The sequence below is a fragment of the Homo sapiens genome, chromosome 2 (assembly GCF_000001405.40).
Source record: "Homo sapiens chromosome 2, GRCh38.p14 Primary Assembly".
NCBI classification, from domain to species: domain Eukaryota; kingdom Metazoa; phylum Chordata; class Mammalia; order Primates; family Hominidae; genus Homo; species Homo sapiens.
In genome coordinates, this window is record NC_000002.12 from 50,322,919 (window position 1) to 50,348,852 (window position 25,934).

The 25,934-nt window shown below is 39.0% G+C and overlaps 1 protein-coding gene across 19 annotated transcripts in view, besides 2 other annotated features; it reads right to left on the minus strand.

Annotated features, from left to right (window-relative positions):
• Window positions 1-25,934, minus strand: part of NRXN1 (neurexin 1) — a 1,113,630-nt gene that overhangs the window by 404,416 nt on the left and 683,280 nt on the right. For 4 of the 19 annotated variants that reach the window (NM_001330097.2, NM_138735.5, NM_001330091.2 and 1 more), the window contains exon 1: window positions 23,773-24,889. The exons of the other annotated variants lie outside the window; for them this stretch is intronic. In NM_001330097.2, coding sequence (NP_001317026.1) covers window positions 23,773-24,031 — 259 coding nt within the window. In that variant the 5' untranslated portion in view covers window positions 24,032-24,889. Of the gene's footprint in view, window positions 1-23,772; window positions 24,890-25,934 lie in introns of those variants that run through there. 19 annotated transcript variants of the gene reach the window in all.
• Window positions 22,865-23,804: an enhancer, noted in NCBI's record as "H3K4me1 hESC enhancer chr2:50572921-50573860 (GRCh37/hg19 assembly coordinates)". NCBI's record gives its function as "activates a minimal SCP1, AML or CMV promoter by ChIP-STARR-seq in naive H9 embryonic stem cells {active_cell/tissue: H9 hESC(naive)}" and the evidence as "EXISTENCE:reporter gene assay evidence [ECO:0000049][PMID:30033119]".
• Window positions 23,805-24,742: an enhancer, noted in NCBI's record as "H3K4me1 hESC enhancer chr2:50573861-50574798 (GRCh37/hg19 assembly coordinates)". NCBI's record gives its function as "activates a minimal SCP1, AML or CMV promoter by ChIP-STARR-seq in naive H9 embryonic stem cells {active_cell/tissue: H9 hESC(naive)}" and the evidence as "EXISTENCE:reporter gene assay evidence [ECO:0000049][PMID:30033119]".

The following is a 25,934-nucleotide window of genomic DNA, read 5'->3' on the forward strand; positions in this document are numbered from 1 at the left end:
AAAATAATTCTAGTATTATTTTTCATTATTAACTATGATTTTGAAAAGTTGAAATGATTTAGTTGTATGACAGTATATATTAGAATTTAGTGGAATGTAAGCATAAAAAACTATTTAACAACGTTCTTCTAAGAGTCAGCTCATAGGTCATATCCTTCATAAAACTTATCGGAAGCTTTCTTCCACCCAATTAACAAATCCCTGAGGGGTCAACTGTACCCTATATGGTTGTTCAGAGTCTGTCATTCCTTGAGTAATACATTATAATAGTAGCTCTAAAACTTTAACATACAGCAGAATCTTCTGGAGTGCTGGTTAAACTACAAATTGCAGAGCCTCACAGTCAGAGTTCCTGATTTATGAGGTCTGGGTGGAACAAAATAATTTGCATTTCTGTACAATCCTAAGGTGAAGCTGATGCTGTCAGTCTGGGGACCACATTTTGAGAACCACTGCTTTCAGAGTGTTTCATTTTCAAAAAGTCTGCCTCCCACTATGAGACTAGAACCACTAAAGAGCAGATATGGTGCCTAGCATGTTCTAGGCACTCAATACATATTTCTGAATGAAAGAATGCAGAGGCCCCTGCAATGTTTGGAGGAGAACCAAATGAAAAATGAGAAGACTGACAACGCAAGTTTCGGGAAATAAACTATATATATATATATATATATAACTTAGCAGATTCAAATTTTATTTAAACCACTGTGAAGTCAATACTCTGACCTTACAAATGGTTCAGTGAAAATCTTTTGATGTAAAGAAAAATGCGAAGAGTTTGAAATTAATACTTGGTCTAGGTTCCTCTAAGTCCTTTTCCAAAATATGCCTATGTGTATCTGTTCATTAAGCAAACATTTACTGAATATATACCATAAGCAATCAAGCTAGAAAACATAGGAAACGACAAGTTGACCAAAGTATTACTTCATTTTAACAAAAGTGGATCAAACAAGTATTCATCATACAATTCTAGGAAAGGGGGGTACCAACCGCCAGAAACAAGAGATGTTCTAGAAACTCAAAGTAGTTCACTAGTGAGGATTTTGAGGTAGGTAGCAGATAGGGAATCACAGAAAGAGCTGGAAAACTACGTAAACATATAAAGCTGGCCCGAGGACGGGAAGGCTTTGAATGTAAGACTAAGGAATTTGAACTTACTTTTGTAGGGGTGAGAAGAAAGCAATACTTAGCAAAACTAAACTTCAGGCAGGGTATATGCTTGAGTAGAAGGAGACTAGAGGCAGAAGGACTAGTGAGAAAGCTACTGAAATGTTCTCCACAGAGGTCAGAGCGACCTAAACCAGGTGGTAGCATTAGGAGTGAAACACACAGAAGGCAAAATCAGCAGTTAGGCAACCGATTAAATGCATGGCAAGAGAGAGAAAAATGAATTAAATGGAAAGGTTTTGAGCCTTAATGACCCAATAAATGAAGATGCCACTTAAAAGCTAAAGAAGCCAAGATGATAGAGTCAATATACTTAAAGACAATTAATCATAAACTTCAGAAGCACTCACTTGCAGGAACTTCTATCAGAGCCCTGGGTTGGGGGAATCCTAGCAGTGTGTTCACTTTGCCATATACATGTGTAAAGTGTGTAAGTCTTTTATTTTATTTTATTTTATTTGTTTATTTATTTGAGACGGAGTCTCGCTCTGTCGCCAGGTTGAAGTGCAGTGGCGCAATCTCGGCTCATTGCAAGCTCCGCCTCCCGGGTTCACGCCATTCTCCTGCCTCAGCCTCCCGAGTAGCTGGGACTGCAGGCGCCCGCCATCGCGCCCGGCTAAGTGTGTAAGTCATTTCTATCTTGCCTGCTTAAGCTTCTCCTTCCACTCCTCCAACATTTCCTTAGTCACACTCACCTCCCACCAGATGGCCCTGGAGAGGCTGTGGTCATTTTTATTTAACTTTTGGCATTCTTTCCTTAATTGGAACTCCTTGAATTATATTAGCTTTAAGCCCTGAAAAATCTGAATCTGACCCTGCAAGAATAGTTTCTGGTTGTGAGGAAGCTGTGCTCAGTTGTATTCTTGGACTTTGATGCACTACCCAGAATTTCAGGTGGAAAAAGCCCACCATGGGTTTAAAAATCTAGCAGAACATTTGGGACTGGGGAAATACATGAGGATAGTTGATGAAATTACTCAAGAAGAGAAAACAGACAGAGGGGAGAAGACCTAACATTAAATTTCTGTACCCTGACATCAAGAACAGGAAGAAGAAACTGAGAAAGAAGAAGAGGATGGAACAATCAGAATGGATGAAAACAACAATAAAACAATGTAGTCCAGTGACATAAATGCCAAGGGAAGAATGAATCTTAACTAAGTAAAGATGTAGACTGTTCCCTGTGCTGAAAAGACCAGAAAAGATGAGTGCTGATATAAAGCCATTCCTATGGATTGGTGGTCACTGGAAGGGAAGATATGAATAGAGGGAGAAGTTTGTCATGCCCCCCACCAGGTCCCATGGCGGAGCTACAGGACAGTTTTTCTAACCTCCCTTAGGGGGATGGGGACTAAAATTTGCTGCTGCTCTAGTGACAAGCAGTTTACATATCCACTGGAATATCGTAAGATGGTAAGCTAGTATGATTGACATTTTACAAATGAGAAAACGTGTCCAAAGTGACACCACCAACCAGAGCTGGAACTCAAATTCCAGATTTTCCTAACTCCAAGTCTACTGTCTTATTCTCATGGCCAATTTTAATAGCAATGTACCTATCTATCTTCACTATTATTAACAGTATTATTCAAATAATTACCTGGAATTTAGAAACAGAATAGCCTTGTCTAATTTTAGGACTGTTTTCTGAGGTTCCACTTCAATTAGAAATGCACACATTAGAAAATGCACGCTATTGCTTCAGTAATATTTTATATGTTTGTAACCCTTTATTTAAAAATTAATCTGATAACATTTGTGAACATGTTAAAAAGCTAAAATGTCAGCACTTTACTTTTCCTTCTTCACAGTTTCTAATCTGTAGAGCCTAACAAAAAAATGATTAACATTTCAAAAGAAAACAAGGAAAAACCTGGTAGAAATATATTTAGCAGAGAAAGTTTCTAAGTATGATCTGTTGTTTGAATATATTTTTTAAAAAGAAGTTCAAAGTAAGCATTTTACTTCTTGCATTCATAAAGTGTTTATCAGTTTTCATCAAAACAAAGAAAATAAGACACGATTTTGTTTTTTTCATTTCATGGGCTGATTTTTCATATTTTAAAAATATTTTACGTTTGTAGTCCAATATTAATATTTAACACATGGATTAATGTACATGTGCTGAAAGATGAATTGAATAAATGCCAGGAATTATTAACAAGCAATTTCAACTAAAACTATAAAACAATTTCAGCAACAATTACCTTAAGTGATAAATTTTCCTTCAATTTAAGAAATAATTTTATCCCTCAGCTGTTTATTGAAATTATTATTTTGTACTTGCTGTATCTGAAGACAGCAAAAGACTTAGCCCATGTAAAAGTAGAAAGTACTTTTTCATAAGTATTTTAATTTCTTACGATAACACTTAGCTATTAAATAAAATTGCGGGCTGGCAGCTGTAGGCTCAGGCATATAATGGAAGAGAAAGATGGAAATACCAAAGGGGCAGGTAGTCATGAGCAAGGACCTGAAACTTTGATATATTTGAAGTTTTCACCTGCAACCTTATCTTCAGTTTGGTAGTAACACTACTATTTAGTGTTACTTGCTTATAGTTGTTTCTATCCATTAACTTGCTTTGTTACCTTTTGCTATGTATATAATTATATTCTATGTACATAATTATATAGAGTTGATGCTATCCTAAACAATGCTTTAAAGGGTATATTTTGTAATTCCTAGGCTGTTCTTTGCTAAGGGACTTCAGCTAGAGCACACCTATGGTGCAATTTACTGTGTTGAAACTAGGCAGAACATCAACAATAAAATTTGGAACACACCTTAGGTATGGCTAAAATTTTTTAAACTGACAATACTAAGTGTAAACAAAAAAACAGAAACACTGTAATTCTCATATATTATCAGTGGAAGTTTAAAATCATGCACCCACCTTGAGAAACTGTGGGACAAAGTCTAACAAAGTTAAACAAAATCCTGTTTCCTAGCCTTTCCACTTTTAATATATGCTCAATAGAAATGACTATTGTGTCCCAACTCATTTAAAAATGCTTATAGGTATAATAGCCCCAAACTGGAAACAAACCAAATGTTCTTCCACATGAGAATAAATAATCAAATCGTGGTATATGCATACAATGGAATATGACTCAGAAATAAAAAATAACCAACCAATGATACATACAACATGGATAAATTTCAAAAATATGATGATCCAAAGAAACCAGACACAAAACAGAACATTCTTTACAATCCCATTTATATCAACTTCAGGACAGGGAAAATCACTTATGATGATAGTTATCAGAATAGCAGCTGGGCAGAGGAGAACTGTGACTAAGACGTAGCTTGAGAGTCACTTCCTAGAATTACAGAAATGCCCTGTGTATGGATGTGGGTAGTAAACACATGTGGGTATATATAGGTTAAAATTATTCCACTGACTTATACACTTAAAAACTTGCACAATTGTATTGTATTTAAATTATATTTCATTGTTAAATAGAAGTCAAAACCAAAGAAAACCTTCATCATGCTTCTTTTTCTTTTTTCTTCTCCCTCCCTCCCTCCTTCCCTCCCTTCCTTCCTTTCCTCCTTTCTTTCTTTTTTTTTGTTTTGACAGAGTCTCGCTCTTTCACCCGGGCTGAAGTGCAGTGGAAAAATCTCAGCTCACTGCAACCTCTGCCTCCCACGTTCAAGGGATTCTCCTGCTTCAGCCTCCTGAGTAGCTGGGATTACAGGCATGAGCCACCTTGCCTGGCTAATTTTTGTATTTTTAGTAGAGACAGGGTTTCACCAGGTTGGCCAGGCTGGTCGCGAACTCCTGACCTCAAGTAATCTCCCGCCTTGGCCTCCCAAAATGCTGGGATTACAGGTGTGAGCCACTGTGCCCGGCCACTTCTTTTTCTTACATGGCCACTTATTTTTCTTCTTTTTCTTATATTTTTTATATGTGTATTCTGATTTTCCTCGTAGGATTTTTTGCTTGTTGAAATGAAGCAGTTAAGATGTGACTAATACAACAGAGAGCATCTTGAAAAGAATGACATCATATAGCAAGCCTGTCCAATCTGCAGCCTGCATATGACCTAGGGTGGCTTTGAATGTGGCCCAACACACATTCGTAAACTTCCTTAAAACATGAGATATTTTTGTAATTTTTTTTGTTTTTTTTTTAGTTCATCAGTTATTGTTAGTGCTAGTGTATTTTATGTGTGGCCCAAGACAATTCTTCTTCCAATGTGGCCCAGGGAAGCCAAAAGCATGGACACCCCTGTATAGCATGAGTAAACACCTCAGCACCAAGGCTAGTAACAGAAGAGATGAATGACTTAATAACATTTAATTCCCTCACTCTCCCTTCTCCAGGCTGCAGCATTCTCAAGAATGAATTGGAAACTTCGGTTGGGTGTGGTGGCTCACACCTATAATCCCAGCACTTTGGGAGGCCGAAGTGGGTGAATCACGAGGTCAGGAGTTCGAGACCAGCCTGGCCAACAGGGTGAAACCCATCTTTACGAAAAATACAAAAAAAAATAGCTGGCATAGTGGTGGGCACCTGTAATCCCAGCTACTCAGGAGGCCGAGGCAGGAAAATCGTTTGAAACCAGGAGGCAGAGGTTGCAGTGAGCCGAGATCGTGTCACTGAACTCCAGCCCAGGCAACAGAGTGAGACTCCATCTCAAAAACAAAAACAAAAAAAGAATTGGAAACTTTTCATTTCCTACTAATTCCGTCACCGCTATAAACTTCTGTCACCTCTCCTAAATTCCAAAACCTCACTATGCTAGTAAGAGCCTCATGCACTTGACTCCTGACCCAGAACTGCTTGGTCAACCTTCTAACACATCTTGTCTCTTGTTATTTCAAGCACAGTTATCTGAGTAGATGCTAGCTCAATACCCCCTGCCTGTGGAAATATATTAAATGCCTCCACATACAGAATCATCTCCAAGGGGTAGAAGATAAGAAGGCTAGAAAAGAAGTTAACAATAGAGAAAAATACCAATAGATTGATTACAGGAAAATATTACATTCCTAAACATTAATAGCACCATAAACAAAATTAAAAGGTATGTAATTAACTGAGAAAAAAATGTTAGCAATATATATAAAAATACTAAAAAGGGCTAACAACATCAATAAAGAATTCTTGCAAATCAATGTGAATAAAAGGAACACATCACTAGGTAATGCAAGGTAATGAACAGATAATTTGGTGAAATACAATTGGCAAATCCACATGTGAAGATGTTCAAACGCAGTAGAAGTTAAAACAGTGTAAAACAGTTAAAACGATGAGGGTTTTTTTTTCTTATAAAATGATAAGGACTGAAAATAATAATTGCAATCTGGGAGGCCCATTGTGCTGGATAGTACAGGAGGTAGTATAAAGAAACATACAGAGGAGGAGAACTCAGTTTGGCAGTGAGTATTAAAAATCTAAAAATAACTATACCTTCTAACTCATTTCCACACTTCGTACACAATACAAATATTTAGATTAAACTATCATATATAACAGTAGTGTGTGTGTGTGTGTGTGTGTGTGTGTGTGTGTGTGTGTATATATATATATATATATATATATATATATATATATATATATATATATATATATATTTTTTTTTTTCCCCCCCGAGACGGAGTCTCACTCTGTCACCCAGGCTACAGTGCGGTGGAGCAACCTCGGCTCACTGCAACCTCCACCTCCCAGGTTCGAATGATTCTCCAGCCTCAGTCTCCCGAGTAGCTAGGAATATAGGCATGTGCCACCATGCCCGGCTAATTTTTTTAATTTTAATAGAGACAGGGTTTCACTATGTTGGCCAGGCTGGTCTTGAAATCCTGACCTCGTGACCCACCCGCCTCGGCCTCCAAAAGTGCTGGGATTACAGGCGTGAGCCACTGCACCCGGCCAGTGTTTATAAAATTTTTAATGGAAAAAAATCTATCTGTCCAATATCAAAAAGATTGGTAAAATAAGTGCAGTCTAGATGATATGCCACGTATCTCTAAATATTTATATTATAGAAGGAAATTAATATCAACAAAAGATGTGTATGATGCCATATTAGTTTTTTTAAAAAGGTTGCAATACAGTCTGCACAGTAGGCTTCTATTTTTTTTTAAATGATTAAATACATAAAGGCAAACTACTAAAAGGAATATACCAAAATTTTAATAGTGATTTTCTTTAGATACGATTCTGGATATTCTATTTTCGTTCTCAAACTTCTGTTTTCCAAATCTTCTATAGCGATAATTATAATCACTAATAACCAATGTTATCGAAAATTTCCATGATCTCTAAATGCCTTAAAGAGTTCGACAGAAAGAATTTAAAAACATAGGCTCTCCTTTTTCTTCTTTCATTAGTGATGATGGGCTATTAAAACAAGGCCACGTCCTTTTGCTTTAACCTCCCATCCCCAGGGATTTCACATTAGAATGTCCTTCCTCCCAATACCTACTCCTAACCTTCCCCAACCCAGAAGTTAGTTTCTCTCCATTAAAAAAATCCCCACAGTAGTATAAATTAAGCAAGGAACCATTTTAAACTGTCAGCTTAATGGTGCACACAGGAAATATGGCTGCTCTCAGTGCAAGAAAATTTTAATGAATAAAGTAGCTTAAGAAAAAGATATTTTCCAACTATAAGTGGAAAACTTGTTCAGTTTCTCAGAGGTTGTTTACTGCCATAGGAATTACCTATTTAAACTTCTTCACAACGTTATCACTTGGATATGGTTAGGTTATTCTGCGTGTGGGCGACTCATTAATAAAGCTGAAGGAAAAGCAGGACAGTGCTAGGAAAGAAATCTAGAGCTGGACATTTAATATTCTTGTGTGTCAGAGACTACATTTGTAATATTAGGGGTGGGAAGTAGTTACTTGCTAAAATCCCACTTTATACTCCGTTTCTGATTCTAGGGGTGTTTTTGTCATCCATACAAAGTCAAAAAGAATGCAAAATTATAACCCAATAATAATGTCATTTTTTAAAGAAAAGTATAGATGATTCAAGACCAAGAAAGAGGCAGTTCATAAAAGATTTAATGTTGAAAAACCACAAACATAAAAGGAGGCTAAAATTGGAAAAGACATTATAAAATCTAAAACTTTAAAAATTTGATATGATAAAATATATGCTGGAAATAATATGCAAGAAAGCTGCATCAAAGCTTTCTTGGTCAAAGGAAAAAGTGTTAACTATTAAGAGATTTTTTACCTTAAAAAATACAAAGAAACAACTTAGTTTGCATTATAGACTAAAATAATCTTTTCAAAGGATATTGAGAATAGAGGACCAAAGAGTGTTTTTATGGAAGGACAAAAGGAGAATGCAGAGTGAGATTTAAAAGTTGTGTGTGTGCATGCATATAACCCTCAAAAGTATAACTCCACACCAAAAACAAAGAAGTAGCTGTATCTAGGGATGTTCTATTCCATCAAAACTATGTCTGTGAAGCTTTAAAGGGAATCTTCTTGCAGTCTACTTCCTATATGAATACTCTCTATGTATAACAGTTCATTCTAAGAGAAGAGCAATAGATTTAACCACTTGTTAGTATCCTTGTTAGCAGTATATCAACAGCAATTGATCACTAATGTGAAGGTATCAGGTTTTAGGTAACTTCCAACACCATTCTCCTTGTGTTCAAGTGATTTTCCTGCATCCTCTGAATAGAAACCATCACTGCTAAGAATTGCTCCTTAGACAGTACCTGCTGGAGGCTTGCAAAGATCTTAGGTAAAAAGTCGTAAGTTGAAGATATTAGTTGATAATGGCATAAGGTCTTGTTCCTCAAGCAATTGTGCTAGGACCGTCTACATTATAATCTCTTAAAGTGGATATTTAGAAATGCAAATTCTTGAGCCCTACCCCCAGATTACTCAATAGAATCTTTAAAGGTACAACCTAGGCATGTGCAGTTTCAGTAAACTCCTTAGGTGATTCTGATACAGTTTAAATTTTAAGAATTAAAATTTAATTATATCTGTTTGTATTACATCTCTTCAACATACAGCAAATTTTAATAAAAGCTATCGAGGTACTAAGAAATGAATTGTAAATGGTGAAATCACAGGCAATGGAAGGAATATTTAGGTGTTGCAGGCAATTTATTATAGCTTGAAAATCATACCATGCTAACTGTAGCTAGCTTTAAAGTAAGTTCTGACTAACAGACTGAACATATTATTGCTTCTGTGTGAGTAGAAGAGGTTATTTAGAAATCTTTCTACAAACATTTGAGTATCTATGAAAATTTACTTTTGCACACTGAGATATAACAAAAACCACACTTTCTGTCCTCAGGAAATTTAATCCAGGAAAATTAGAGCTCTGTTTTGAAAGCAGAGGAAGTTAATTTAAAAAACACAGACTGGATGTATCTTAACATCACCTCCTAAGCTCACTAATGATACCTGAAAGCATTCACCTTCACCTAGTTGGAGAGATCTCTGCTGCAAGGAAAATGTTAACCATCTTGCCAGCTAGGCATCATTCTTCATACTATAATAAGCAAAAGGCATTTCCAAAGTGAGACTCTCTTTGTAAATTTGTTTGTCATTCTTGTGAAGAATCAGATGCTGTAATTATTAAGCTTTTTACAGAACATTTCAATTTTCCAATTGCTCTTTAATAATTCCCAGCAAGTAATTGGACATTTTAATTATATGTAGCTTCTTGTCACTGTTCATCTAAAAAACATCACAACATTAAACTAAGATGCTCAGCCTGAGTGTTTTCTTGGGTTGTATGCATATTTTTTGAGTTATTTCAACAATGATCAAAAGCCAGTGAGTTCATCCTTCAAACTGGAATCCTCATTTCTTTTCCAAAAGACAAAAACTAATAAGCAACAAAAAAATTAAACCATCACACTAACAAAATGTATTAAAAGTCAATCGATAATACTGGCCATCACACCAACAACCTCTACCTTTATTTTATTTTCCCATAAAGAGCCACTAATCCATTTTGTTTTTTTCTACTAGCTTAGCAAGTCCATATGGACTGGACCCTTTCAGTGTTTCTTTCCCAGAATCCCTGCAGAATCATTGATCTCCTTGATCTACTCATCTCTTTGATCTTTTGAGGATAGTCTACAAATAGCCTGTGCTCCCCTACGTGGGTGGCAATAGCAGCCCTGGAGCCTTCAAACCAGCTTATGGGGTTATAGTCCCAGCTCTGCCAGTTACAAACATGCGACTAAGTCAGGCCAATTAAAGTGACCGGGCTGCAACGTTGCCCTACCTGCAAAATGGGGCAAAAATCTTCCATATTTAATTTACAGGCTTGTGCAGATTTCATATGAAATAAAAAGAGAAGCCACTGTGTAAACCTTGAAATCTCTACAAATGTGAAAATGAAAATGAACCAAACATCTCCCCAATATTAGCATGACATCTATCAGGCTCCTATAGAAATCAGTAATGAAGGAGGATGTGTGCCCACCCAGCCATGCCATGGTACAAATGGGGCCTCTGGTGTGTCAGAAAAGCAACTGGAAAATGGAAAAGAGATGGTTCCCATCTTTCCTGTGTCTGTTCTAGGACACTGCGAGTCCTCCCGAAGGTGTCTGAAAGAACACAAGGCAGGCATGTTAAGTGTGAAAGACAGCAGAATGGATTTGACGGCCTCTATTAGGCCTGAGGTCTTTTGGCAGAGAGTGAGAGAATGTCCTATTCCAAGCAGAAGGCACCTGATAAGCACTTGATTGATTGGTCTCTGCATTCTTGGCACTCAGTGAAACACTGATTTGCCAGCAGAGTGTGTAAACACCCACATTTTGGTAATAACCTAAATATCTGCATATTGTGAATGAGGAGGCTGACTGAATGAAATTGTGTAAAAACAGAAAGTCAACTCCCTGCAAGTCTTGCCTTCACCATTCTCTTTGCAGATGCAGGACTTTTAACAGTGAGGATATTAGGACATCCACAAGTGAAGGATGGAGCCCTGCCCTGCTCTTTGGGAGCTTTTTGCCTGTGTGTGTGTGTCTGGCCCTCATTCAAGGATATGCTCCTCTCTGGCAACTCCCAGCCAATGTCTAGAGAGCACAGCACTGTGTTTTCCAACTTAACTAAGAATTAGGTCTCTTTGCTACTGCCTTTCCTTAAGACCAGGACCAAATATATATATATATATATATGTATGTAGATATTGTTTAACGGGCCTCACGTCTAGGCAAAATACACACACATACATACACACACGTACATACAAAGTCATTCATTCAATAGTAAGCTGCATTTGTCTGGAATTACTAACAAAAATTGAATTAGCAATTATTGCACTGTTGTTTTCTTTTAAAAGCACAAGTTAAAGTAGTGTTTTCTGCTCATGCTTAATAAGATTGCCTTTCTCTCTATTTACCACATACCCATCTTTCAGAGCTTCTCTAAAAGCCTATGTCTTTCTTGAAGCTTTTACTGATTCCCTTGCTGGAAAATGTATCTCTGATTTCTAAATACCTACACTGCCCTAGCACAGATTGCTAAGTCATGTTCTTTGGAGGTCCTATTTCCCAAATGGCAGGCACTCCATCACAAGGGTCTCCAAAATTCTCCAAAACACTAGGGAATGTATGAATATGTGAGGTGGGACCGATATTCATATTGGCTCCAGAGGAGCCAGGCAATGCTTTCTCCAGGGATACTTTTCACTATTATCTGTTATCTAGAAAATCGCCTTCATTTTAAGATATTTAGAAGAAAATCCAAGTTATGTGGTTTCATAGATTAAACTTATTGCTGGCACTTACATACCACTAAAAGTTAACCTTGGAGGAGGGGCGATACAGACTATAACTTTAATCATATCAGCTTCTTGTCTTAACCACATCTTGCTTTGACTGAACTACTCTGATCCTAAGGACTCCTGACTGTTGATATCACAGCTTAAAGGCTTTCTTCAGACTCCGGGAGAGAAAGTGGTGGGACACTCTGTAAAGTGATTCAGTTCCAAAGTATATATATCATCCCAGGTGATCATAGAGCTTAAATAAAGTTGCTTCAAACTAGCATGAAATTTTGTCTAATACACAGTCCCCAAAAGAACCTCTTTAGAAAGAGGATGAAAACATTTAAACATGGATGTTAAGTTCCTATTAAAACACTCATTTATTTTAAGAAATTCGCTAGTTATGTTTTAAAAATTGATAATTAAATTACAGTTGCTGAGCATTTTCCTTTGACTTGGTATTTTGAAATGCTTGTGTTCTGTCTAAATGCTAGATTCTTAGCATTTGGCTAAGGTATACGCATCAAAATGGCCACAGTAAAGGAAGTGACATTAGTAATTCTGGGCTAGGAAGCACTGTTTCTCTTACCGAAATCTCTCGCAACTGTAATCCAGCCAGGTAAAGATAGCTTTGTGTTTGCTGACATTTTCAGAGTTGATTGGGCAAAAAAGGTGCAATCATTTTCCTAAGTTTTTCCTCGTCATCTTTACCCTCTCCCCACCACCCCCTGCCGTTATTTTCAAAAGGCTTAATCTAAATTCTAAAGGAATGTTCTAAGAGAGCGAGGAAAAAAATATTCAACACTAAACTGCAGCAATAGCCTTGACAGTTCAGTTCTGCTGCAGGTGTCCTGGTTTAACTCCCACATGGACAAAGGGGATACAAATTGTTGGGTTACTACACAATATCCTCTTGTTAACATCGTGTTGTCCTCTTTTGGAAGAATCAGACACCAGGAAAGGATCTCAATTTCAACCCTTTGTCTTTTACTTAAAGAATCTACCAAATCAGTCTAGAATGATAAGAATGAAATGTGTTTTAAAAAGCTCAGAGGAGTCTACCTTATATCTAACCTCAGTCCTTTCTGTTTTTTTTTTTTTTCCAGAGCAGAAAAGACCCACTGTTGGAGAGGGGTTCATCTGTCACTTGAGGGGCAGCAGCAATTTATCAGTTCCTGTGCCAGATGTTTACATAATATCAAGTCTTCACAACAGTCCTACAGAGGCCCTATTTCACTCCAGGCAAAACCAAGGCTCAGAGGCTTAGGAACTGCCCAAGGTCAGATAGTTAGTAGACGCAATGAGAATTATAAGAGTAATCCTTTATGTCACAAGGGAATTCCAGAATTCCTGTAATGTTATTTTAAGTGGAATGTGTGAAATGCCAGTAAATAAACAACAACAATTCTGGTGTTAAATTGAAGAAACAAAAGAATCTTTAAGAACAATGTAGTTAAGAGACTCAAACTAGAAAGAATTTACCATCCTTTCTGAATGTTGCTCCAACTTATAGTCTAATATAAAAACTCATAAGAAATGAGTAGTAGAGATGCTTAAATTCTCTATCTAGTCTACAATACCATGCATCTAGAAACGACACAATTTGATTTTTAAAATCTTCAAGGCTTCATAATTAAGAGACCATAATTAAAATTAGAATACTCAAATAAGTTTATTAATTGTCAGTCTTTTCTCTATATCCTGCCTTCAGAATTATACGATTTTATTTAACCATTTGCAGGATTCCTTTCATCTCAGGAGAGTATAATCATATAATCAGACTCATCACCACTGTTCCCTTTTAATTGTAAATCATGACTGCGCTTGCAAATTAGTCTATTATCACAGCAGATTATCAATTTGGTAGGGAAAGTATTTGCCATCTAGAATGAAAGTAGTTAATAAACATTAATAAACATCTTAAATCAATCACTCCTTTACTCTTGGTGTGCCGACAGATGTCATTTGAGATTAATAAATCAGTCAGAACAAATAAAGTGATGAGGAAGCGAAGCACAAGGAAGCCTCTCGATGCCCTGTGTACTTAAGAATCACAATGCCTAAAAACTAATTGGAAGATAAAGATAAGGCATTAAACCTTCAGAGAAATGACTTGTTGGAAATTAGACAAAGTAAATCCAGATAGCCATTCTCTGTGGGTCTGTTATGAACCACTGGCAATAAAAGCTAGAGGAGAAACAAAATGCTCAGTCAGAATAAATTATGTTTATTGACAGCATAATGTAGAGGTTAAAAGCATGGACTTTCTTTTTTCTTTTTCTTTTTTTTTTTTTTTTTGAGACGGAGTTTAGCTCTTGTTGCCCAGGCTGGAGTGTGCAATGGCTTGATCTCGGCTCACTGCAACCTCTGCCTCCCAGGTTCAAGCGATTCTTCTGCCTGACCCTCCTGAGTAGCTGGGATTACAGGCAAAGGCCACCATGCCCAGCTAATTTTGTATTTTTAGTACGGATGGGGTTTCTCTATGTTGGTCAGGCTGGTCTCGAACTCCCGACCTCAAATGATCTGCTCGCCTCAGCCTCCCAAAGTGCTGGGACTACAGGCGTGAGCCACCGCACCTGGCCAAAAGCATGGACTTTCTAATTGGCCTGCTTGGGTTTGAATCCAGGGCCCACAACTTCCGTTTCAGTGACTTAACTATTTCTTAATTTTGCTGTGCCTCAATATCCTTATGGGTAAAATGGGAGAGTAAAGTACCTATCTCATAAAGTTGTTGTAAGGATTAAATGAATCAATATTTTGTTAAGAGTTTAAAACAGCACCTGGCATATAACAAGCACTGAGTGATTGTTCAATAACTAAATGATATAATTGGCCATTTACTACCATTTTATGTGCTCTAGTTCTTTCTCTGCACAGGCTTTTATGAGGGAGAATTGGGGTTGTGAAGTAATCCCACAATATTTTAATCACTTCCTCACTATAAGCCAAGAGTTGAATTAATTCATTTTGTAAAAATAATTAAAATTTAATTAATTCTATTAAAAAGAAAAAAACACAAATTTTTCATTTAAAAATAAGATTACTGAGGCAAAATGTTAACAGTACAAATAGACTGTTGTTGTATAGTCCAGTCATTAATTAAAGGCATCCAGATATCAATACCTTGTGTATTAACACAAGACTTTTGTATAAAGATGTTTACCAGAAGCCCATCAGGAGTGTTCCACTTTTAGTTATGGCACAAAACGTTATCCACTAGCATCATCAACAACTCCTCTATATCTCACCTAGGACTAGTCCCAAGAAAAAGAATGAGTAGGGAAACCAAATACATTATTTGCATATTTAACAGCATGTCCAATTAGCCACTTTGCTGACAGAGACTAATTTATTATTCATCTTATTCCAGCATATGTTACTACTTTGACATCCACGTGACAAATGACTGATACAGCACATTGTGATTTTGAAAATGTTAACTGTGGACTTCAAGAAAATGTAGCTTAGACTATTGAGGAAAGTTTCTCTGCTTCACCTTCAGAAATATGGAATCTAGAAAATGATCAATTTTTCTACTATGTAGGCACAAATGGTCCAATATGACATAATTTTCAGAAATGAGTATGAAATAAAAGGAAATAAGCTATCAAATGGTGCCCTGAAAACCAAATAGAAGGTTCAATCTCTACGTACATCCTCTAGGCAAAAATTCTCAGAGGTATTTAAATTAGACATGTTCCAGTATTATTTCTCTATACTAGATTGTAATATATTTTATAATTGAAAAGGATAACTATACATAAAATGATATAGATGCATAGATAGGAACTAAATCATTCATTCAATTAACAAAGACAGAATCTTGAAAAATTTGAAAGCCAAGTTCCTCAGAAAAACCACATACTTCTTTCAAATGTGCTTGGATAGTTTTATATTAGAAAGAGAAAAAAAAAAAAAAGATAAAACAATGTGTTGCTGCATGCCCCTTCAAAATGTGCTCATCGGTTACTGTGAGAGTACTGTGTCACGGGGCTACCACACTTTTCCTGAATGTATTTTTTAGAACAGCATCACAGTCAACTCCTAGTGAAGTACTTTATGCTCTGTAACTATCCACACTTTAGATTTTTCAGTCTTAACATAAAATTAAAAATTTCAGAATCTAAAATTATCTGTTTTAAGTAGCATTAAAAATACCACTTCTCTTTAAGCAGCTCTGAAACCTGAAGTCATCTAGAAAAATATGCCATGATGACCAAATGGTAACTAATTGCCAAGACAGACTAAACCACATAAATAATTACATGTACCATCGTTAGTCCAATGGCAACCCAGATAATCAAAAAAACCATGATTATCATGGCATCATGGCAGAAGTGTTGTCCAAATAAGTAAATTTCACTGCCTTGTATTTTACCACATATTAAAAAGCACTCTTTTACAATCTGTTAATTTTTTTTCTTTCTTTATAGTTGCTGATTTTCAGAGATATATCATAATGCTTTTACCAATTTTAATTATTTGACAAACAAGTCACCAAATATATACAGGAACATTTAAAAGTTCACAACCTTGGTTTAAAAAATGTAGGTCACATTATGCAATACATTTAAACTGGGGATCTCAGAGCCCAAAGGGTTCTATATTCTGAATTTCACAACAAAAATGACTACAAGATTCAAAGAAAGTTCATAGAAAACAACATATACATAACCACATACCTTGAAAATACACTGGAGAAACACCTTTCTATACTGCCTCAGTTAAAATTCACAAATCTCACCGATATTAAGTTCCCACAATTAATGCAGCAGGTTCTTCTTATCTACTTGTATATTTAGTGATTAAAAGGAAGTCTGTACAGGAATCATCATCTTCTAGTGTTAAAGCTTTTTAGTATAGTGGTTACTATTTAATAAATAACATTCCTTATCACTACCTGAGCATAACCCTTCAAGTCAAATTTGAGAACAGTCCTCATTTATTAATCCATCTCCATCTTCCTACTTACTGACTAAGTACCACAAGGTAATATTAGATAAAATTCCTTCCACTGAAATGCAGACATAAATTTCACATCTATATTGACTTGAAATTCTTAATAACTATGAGTTAGCTACTCTTTTGTGGCTAATTTTATTGTTAATGAAGAACATTTTTTGAGACATGAATTGGAAAGTACCAATGCTGGGACAAATTTCAGGTCTTCTAATTTAAATCCAGTGGGTTTTGTTTGTTAGTCTTTTCCAAAACCCTGCCTTTTATATTGTCATGGAAAAGCAAATGTACAGTGGCTATATATTAATTAGGTGAACCTGACATAATCATCACCTCTTTAAATTTGTTTCCTTGTCAGCAAAATGATGATCATAAGCCCTGCCGTGGTTGTGATGATGATTAAATGAGACACTTTATATGAAGGCACTGTGGAAATATATACTTAAAAGATAGCTGTTTTCACTCAGTTCTGTCAAAAGCTTGAGGGAATGCATTGTTATGTGATCAACACTGAACAATCTTGTATTTTGTGAGAGAATGGAATATTTTAAAAGGCCATTACAAGCTTCTATGTGGAGAGATATTCTACACCCTACATAGACCAGAAAGGGCTGGGCAAAAAGACCAAATGAAAGAAGCGGGTGCTTTTCTAAGAGGAAATCCTTGAGACCTCAGTTGCGAGACAAGTACTAGGCCAAATGCACCTTGAGCCTGACCACCACGCCATGGCTCCTGTGCACCTAAGTAAGCCACTCCCAGAATAATCATGAGGACAATTAGATGGCTTAAGGGACCTGAATATAATCTTTGCAAAAATATCTCCAGTTACAATATGTTTAGAATCAATACGTCCCTGGGAAAAGACAACAAGACCATGAGGATTTTAAGAAATCCTTATGATCAAAGGAAACTTAGAATTGGAAATGATCTTAGAGGTCTGCTAGTCCAATTTAAAAAAAAGAGAGAGAGAAACAGAGAAAAACGAAACAAGAATATGAATGACAAAACAGTATAAAAAGTCATGCTCATTATTATTGAGATTGTTAACATCTCAAAACATAAATTGTGTTTTTTTCTTTAAAAGAGGCACACACTGTAGCATAAATGAGTCATCGAGGGCTGACTGTGGTGATGGTCAACAGTAAAGGAAAGCTGGTTTTCTCTGTATGAACCAAGTTTGGTTGCTCTATTCTCTTCTCAAAGACCAAGCCTCTAATCCCAGTTAATTGTCTAAAAAGGACTGCTTTTGGTCATACAGTATACAGGTGAGAGTGTAGATGAATTAGTGCAGGCTTTCCCTTCTATTGGAGTACAGGCTTTATGGAAGAGTATTCCATAGGAGGAGGAAGATGAGTTAGAAGATATGGGTCCTGCCTCCATCTCTGCTGCTGATTTGCTGTGACCCTATGAGTGTAGTTCACTTAAATTATTTAGATCTCTGTTGTCACATCTGTAAAATGAAAGGAATATACTCCTCAAACTTTAGAACTGAAAGAAATGATGTTCAAAGTGGTAACTGAATTCCATAAGTCACTGAGTTAATAACTGGCTGAACTGGGACAGGAACTCAGGTCTTCTGATTTTAAGGTCTAGATTTCCCCTACATGTGCTCTAAAGTCTCTTTTAAGTATTTCTTAAAAAAAAAAAAAAATCATTGGGAACCTACTATAGTCTGGGCACTTTTCAAATTCATGGTCTCATTTATTCTTCACTTATTGTATTTTCATTTTATAAATGGAGAAAACATTCTTAGTAAAGATAAGCAGCTTCGTACATTTACACAGTGCTAGTAAATGGCAATGGCCAAATTTTTACACAGATATGTTTCTGAGAAGTATTTAGTCAGACCAGTCTGCATTAATTATTCATTATTAGTGTAAATTTAAATCACTGAATTCCTATCTTAACTACATTTACAAAACAAGACTTATATCTGTTCGAAAAGTAGAAATTGTTATGTTTTGTTAGAAAAAATATATGCAGCAACTTGGTGGAAAACAACTGTATAAAGAGCTCTTTCTAGAACATTAATAATGAAGGGCAATAGAAAGTGGTGTAGATAAAATTTACTATTTTGATGTTTTTATCAGATCATTTCATGGTGAGTCCCAGATGATTGCTACATATACATAAACTTTATGTTTTTTGCATTTATGCTTGGAAACTATGTATTTTTAAGGAAAAAATTGAATTTGCCTCTTTAAGGATTAACTCTTTCCAACAATAGCTTGGATTTTTAGAACTAAGTTGTAAACTTCTTGATGGTTCTGCCTCCGATATCTTGCCTCCTCCAACCTCAACTCTACTCTCATCCTTATTATTCTCTGGTCCTCCATGGTACCTGGTACACAAATACAAACACATGCTCATAGTAGGAATTTATGATATATTTAGTGAATAAATGAATGCATGAATGAACAATCTAAGAAATAAATCTATTAAAGTTTTGGGCAACCAAAAAATTATTCTAAAGTGCCAGGGTTACTTGGATCATCATTGATTCAAAGATTCTTCCAAAAATAGTAGCTGGCCATCTTGTTGAAAACAGCATTTAAGTGATATAACATTTTGTCCAAGAATCCAAAGTAAGGAAAAGGTGTGGAACACCAGTGTCTGTTTCAGCAGAACAGTCATAGCCAAAAACATTCTGGGTCACACATATGAATTCATTACCAGCTAATTAATATTAAACATTAAAGCTAAATATTTCCCCAATGTAGAGAATATTGTCAAAGGTTTTGCTAGCTCTCTTGGTTGCCACACAAAAGAGTAAAGGGATTACTCTATGAAACATTAACCTCCTGCCTCCTGGAAAAACAGAGAAACAAAAACCTCCTCAGCAGAATCAATGAAGTAATCTGCAGGACTCCAGTGAGGTACCAACAGCTTTCTAACAGTGTGCATTATTGTTAAAACATGCTTGAAGCAAAACGCTGGACCATGTATCTTGTAATTATTTCTTAAGAGATCAACCATTAAACGGCATAGAGGACCCTCTTAGTTTAAGTTTAAGTTTAAAAACCTCTGAGCTCATAGAATTGCTCTGGGCTATGGGCCATAGGCCTTGATTCTAATTCCTCTTTGACTCTGATCAGACATCTGGCTCCGTCTTTTGGCCCATTTATGGTATGCCTCAGTATCCCTACAGGAAAATCACATTCAAACTCACTCTGAAACCTACCTATCCTCTTAGAAGTTTGGTATGTGTACTGAAAGTGTCTCAGAAACAGAAACATTATAAATTCAAGATATAATTATTATCCTTATATAACACCATTAAGCAACTTCAATTACAAACCACACTTTTAAAATCTGTTAACACTTCCTTCTGGGAAAGCCCTTTTGCCCTTTAATAGTGTAAGCTAATCATGGCAATATAATTTCCAGAGCTCATATTTGTGGGAGGAGAAAGGATGGCACTGGTGGCTTTCTCCTTCCTTTATCTCCTGAAATTATTGAGAGACTCTAAGCTAATTTTCTAAAGTATGCAGAGGCACTTAGGAAAGCCGGGAGCTGAGATGGGAACCTAAGCATTTCACTGACATCATTCCATGCTCCCCACATATGGCACATCACATAAGCAGTACTGGCTGAGCACACTGGTCTATTCTGGACTCTTGTTGGCGTTAAGTAGCATTCTTAATTACAAGCAGGCTTGCTTTTTGTCATTTACAGTCACACAGTTCTCCCTCTATTTAACTAGAAAAAAAAAACACAATTTTTCTATGGAGGTAGTTTCACCATTTATGTTTTTGAGCCAATGCAAAATATAAAAGGACCCTGCAGTGTTCTCAAAACCTGCTTCTCACAGGCCCTTAAAAAAAATCCTCATCATAATCTCTGCAACTGGGTCAGCTTGCACAAAGATACTCGGGTAGCCATGAGCGCTCTCTGCGCCCTGCAAACCTTGTAAGTGACACCTCATAATAGTGCAAATGAAGCATGGCAAGATGAGAAAATGAAGAAGAATGAACCTGGATAGTCAGCCCAGCAGCTTTCAAAACATAGGGGACTCAATTTTATTCCTTAAACTATACCATAAATGAATTTTTATTTTACACATTCAAGCATATACATGCATTCTCTATTATGAAAGAAAATGTCTTACGATTCACAGAAATTCTAATACAACCAAACAGCCTAGTTCATTTGTTCATCTAGCCAAATAAATTTGCAATAGTCTCAGATTTTGAACTAAACCTCATTTTCACTTGTCTTGACTTTCAGCTATGAATTTATCATATTGTCATTAACGTTTGTGCTTTCCTTTCACCCTCATCTATTAGGCTCAAGGGTTCTTTACTTGTGGGTCCTTTGTCCCAACAACTAGCGAAATATTCAGAGAGCTATTGACCCAACAAATTCAACATCACCTCTTTCTTATTAGGTTTCTCTTTAAGCCATCACCCTGCCTGCCGTGTTCTCAGTCCCTCTGCACTCACACCTCACCCCATTTCTCCATCCCCCACCCTGAGAGGCTTATTTTTTATCCTAATGTTCCTTGATTGTTCTCTATAAAGTTAATATTATTTTCAAAAGAGAGAAAGGATGAAGTATGAGAAATTCACACCTGGCTTTTATTTGGCAGGGGTTGGTTACTGACATGTAAGTTTGCGCCTCTGATTGAAAAAAACAAAGAATCAGAAGAGGAGCAGCCTCTTCCAAAAGAGTAAGCATGAAGGAGAGTGGGCAGAAATCCAAAAATACACAAACACGACCATACAACAGAACCTTCGAAGGAAACAGAAAGTTCTTTGACCCAAAAGAATAATACCAACCACTATACACACAACAATTTTCTCTACTATCCTATTCTTTCTCTTTTTCGATGACAGACACCTCTGATTTTTCATTCACATGCAGAGACAATCACTGTATTCTGGAGGGAAAGAAATGTTTGTAAAGGCCAGCAGACGGCGCCTGACTGGGGCAGAAGCTTGCAGCGGAGAGGAAAAAGGAGTGCCCCACTCTGCGGCAGGGCCCCTTGGTCTTCTCCTCTCCCACGTCCCCAGCAGCCTTATCCCTCTGGAGAGAGGCCGAGACACAGAAAAGGAGAAGTTGCATATGAGATTATTAGCCAAGTGCTTCCCACTGGCACAATTAGGTGTTCCACCTGCTCCATACACCCATCTGCCTCACCACACCCACCTACCCACACTCTGCCCTTCCTGCACCCTGGCTTGCCTCCGTCCCTCAGGACTCACACAATTCTGCACAAAGGCAGGGCAGTGGTTGAGAACTGCACCCAGGTAAAGGGAACAACAAGCTCCTAGAATACTGTGGGCTTGTGGTGAGATCACCAGAAACTCCTTATTCTTTCAGAGAGATCTAATCTCTGTTACTTATAAAAATAATCCCTAGCTTGGGACATCACTCTCGTCTCCATACTAGACACTCTTAACTGGAGAGAATTTCTGGGAGAGAACTAGGAGAAGGAGAAAGGAACAAATTCCTAGAACCCACAGGGATGTGTTTTTTCTAGTATGCTCCCAAAGAGGGCTTGCTAGGGGACTTGGTCTCTCTTCAGTTAGATTATGCTATAGTTTTTCATATCTAACCAGAATTGTCCCCAGGTGGGAAACCCCCACCCCACCCTGCATCCATGGAATAAAGGGCCATCCTGGTAGCACCAGCAGCTGCTCAGGGCAGAGCAAACTCATAAGGAGTGGGGCAAAGGATTCTGAGCTGAAACAAGTCTGAAAGGTGACGGGTCCTGCAAGAAAGAGGTGGAAAATGGATATAAAAAAAGTGCCCACAACTTTCACTCTGCTTTCTAAACAAGTGCATTTTACACCGGGGTAGAATAAAAATTGGGAGTGGGGAACGACTCACAAAAACAGATTGATGTTTTAATTTTTGGCAATTCGGGGAATCTGGAATAGATATTTATCTGAAAATTAGAGGAATCTGGCCTCACAGTGCTGGTCACTCTGGAGGAGAAAGCTGCCAACCAAGGCTTTTCTCTACACTCTGCTGTTTTCAAAGGGACAGGGCATTAGGAGAATAGTTTCCCTTAGCTCTAACTTCTTCTCCAGGCAGACCTCCGGGCTTAGCCCAGCCAGCATTGACTGACTTGCCCTTCCTGGAAAGCATTAATCACTGAAGGAGGAAGTAAGACCTCCCTGGTTCCAATAGCCTTCACACGTGATCCTCCGGGAGATGGGTATGTGTAGTCAAGCCTCTCTCTGTTCCATTTAGAAAAGAACTCAGCCTAATTACCAAGAAAAAGACATATATTTATGTGCAGAGTGGATGGAAGGGGAATGGTGTCCAGAGGTCCCCTCCATGCCTGCGAAGGGCTGGCCCGCATTAAAGGGGATGACTCGGTTGCCCTCCTAGCTTTTCTAATTAAGGGAAGGCGTGGGGGCAAAAGTAATTGGCCTCCTGTTGAGTGAGTCCCAGGACTGCTTCGCTGTCACTGCAGTCTGGGCGCACTTTGGAGGAATGTGCGGGCTGGAATCTCTCCCTCCCCGCCCCCCGGGGCCAGGGAAGATGGGCAGGAGGTGGGGCAGCATATACAGCACAGACAAAAGGTTCTGCAGAGCCCTCTTCTCTCTGGTGCTCAGGTCCCTTAGCTGAGCGCGGCGCCCCATCCGGCCACTGAGTGACCTTCTGGCAACTGACGCCCCCTTCCCGCGGGGCCCAGCCGCGCGACCAGGGCTGGTCCTTTAGTAGGTGTCCACATCTCTCTCCCAGTACCTCGACAAGGAACGCCCCTCCCACCCCTCACCACCAACACCCGCGACGCCTTCCCCCATCCCCTTTCTATTGTCTTCAAAGAGATAAGTGGCTCGCACCAAGCACACCCAAATGCACCTCCCTTTTGTCGAGCTCCCATTTCTCTGAGCCTTAGGAGCCCAGGAGCGAGTGCAGGGTAGAAAGAGGGGAGCGAGGGGATAACCCGCGAGAACTTGGCATCGCAGACCCACCGTGTCCGCCTCGCAAGGATGCCGGTGACCTGTAGATTGCAATAGGCACTGAATGATGCTTGCTGCTGCCATGGAAATGGTGGATGTGGTGCGCTCCCAAACTGGATGCCCCCCACGCCACTCCTAGGAGGCCGCTGAGGGTGAGCGGGACTATCCAAAGCAGGGCCAGGCGCCCCCCTGCGCCGCCGCCGCCGCCGCCGCCGCCGCCGCCCCCGGGCGAGCCCAGCTCGGCGCCGCACCGGAGCATCCTCTGGTACATGGCGGGGCGCCCGCCGAGGGGCAGCCGCCGCGGGAGGCAAAGTTTGGGGCGCGGGGAGAGGAGAGGGCGCAGGGGAGCGGGCGGCGCGGAGTGGGCTGAGGGGCCGGCCGCCTCACCGCGCCAGGGCACCCATCCTCTCCCTCCTTCGGACAGTCTTCTCGGGGTCCTGGAGTCCGCCGTGCCTAGCACCCCAAACAATCCGAAACATAGCCGAGGCGAATGCAGCTGGAGAGGGGCTTGTCCGGAAAGGCAGCCCCGGGAACAGCAAGCGCGGAGCGGGTGGCTGCTCCCAGATTTCCAGGGCTCCAGGTTCTCGAGAGATACTCCCAAAGAGTTTCGGGCGAGAGTGCGTGCCGGCGGGTGGGGGGCCGAGAAATTGTTTAAAGCTCCTCCTGGAAGGTCCTCACTTCTACATGACAGACATCCACCGCGAATCCACTAGGTAAATCCATTTAGCTTTGTGTGCGGGGACTAGGGAGGCCACTTCGCCGGCCCAACCTCCTTTCAAGACAGAAGCAGACCCCATGGAATCCAGGCGCCCCTTCCCTCCATTCAGCCCCGGCCGGCTCGCCCGCTAGCGCCAGCCTCCCCCGGGCAGCGCGCGGAGCAGCGGCGCGCATCGCCTGCTCCCGAGGCAATCTCCGCGTCCGCCGCCTCCTGACACTTACGCCCGGCGAGGGGTTCAGAGGGAAGAGTGCGCCCTTCTGAAGGAAGTGGGAATCGAACGGCGGAAAGGCAGCTGAGAAGAAGATGCAGACGAAGGAGTAAGGGAGAGAAACAGAAAAAGAAAAAGAAAAAGAAAAAAAGAAAAGAAAAACCACACACGCTGGTGAAGCAAGGGGCTCTATGCAAATCTGCAGTCTCCAAACAGCAAATCACTGAAGCTCGGATGCAATGCAGAGGACGAGCCTATGTAACGAGGGAGGCTGGTCTAGCTTCCCACGAAAATCGCCCTGCTTTGCCTCTCCCTTGCATTCTCCACGCATCAAAGGGACACGTGTAAGGCGAAACGGGAACACCTAAAAAGCAACTCTCCCTCCACCAGGTGATCCCTCCATCTGAACTACAATGGCAAATGGCACCCTTCCCCTACCCAATGGTTTAGATGTAACCAGTGTCTTTAGAGATCTTAAAAGGGAGAGAATTCGGGTCTTTTTATTGGACCAAACTTGTTCTACCAGGTGTTTAAACTCAATCTGCTAAATATGGCTTGATACCTTGTACTCAAGCATCAGTCGCGATGATCTGTTAATCACATATGTTACTCATAACAAGGATTCTTCTTCCCATTACCATATTATATCTCATATAAGGCAGTGGAAGTTCAGGGGACCAAAACTCACAAGGAGGGAAAAGGATGCATTAATTTGGCAGCTGCAGAAGAGGCAGAAAGTGGAAGAATGGGAAGAGAGGAAGAGAAGGGTCAGGAGAGAAACAGGAAGAAAGCAGAAAAGAAAGAAATGGCATGAATAAAATTGCTTGTATTTCAGTCAATATTTTAGGAATATTTAAGATCTTCCAAGATCTCTATAGAAGCCCCGCTGTGATGATCTTTGCTAACAGTGGAACTCCTCCTTTCTCTCATCCTGTCTTATAAAGAAAATAGCATCAGGAAATGAAAATTCCTAAATCTAGTGCCCCCAAGGGAAATAGGACATTTATATGCTTTTGATGAAATACAGCATCTTTAACTGAAAGCTGTGTGTCCTAGATGAAAGACCAGCAAAGCCAGCATAAATTTAAGAGTAGAAATCTAGCAATGCAAGTGAACTTGGCTAGGAGGACCACAGGCACTGGATGCTGGTGATTAAGACTTGGGACTATGATTTAAACATTTCCCTGATTTCCAAAAGATGATAAAAAACTATGACATGTCCAGTGGCTGGACTTTTTTTTTTTTGTC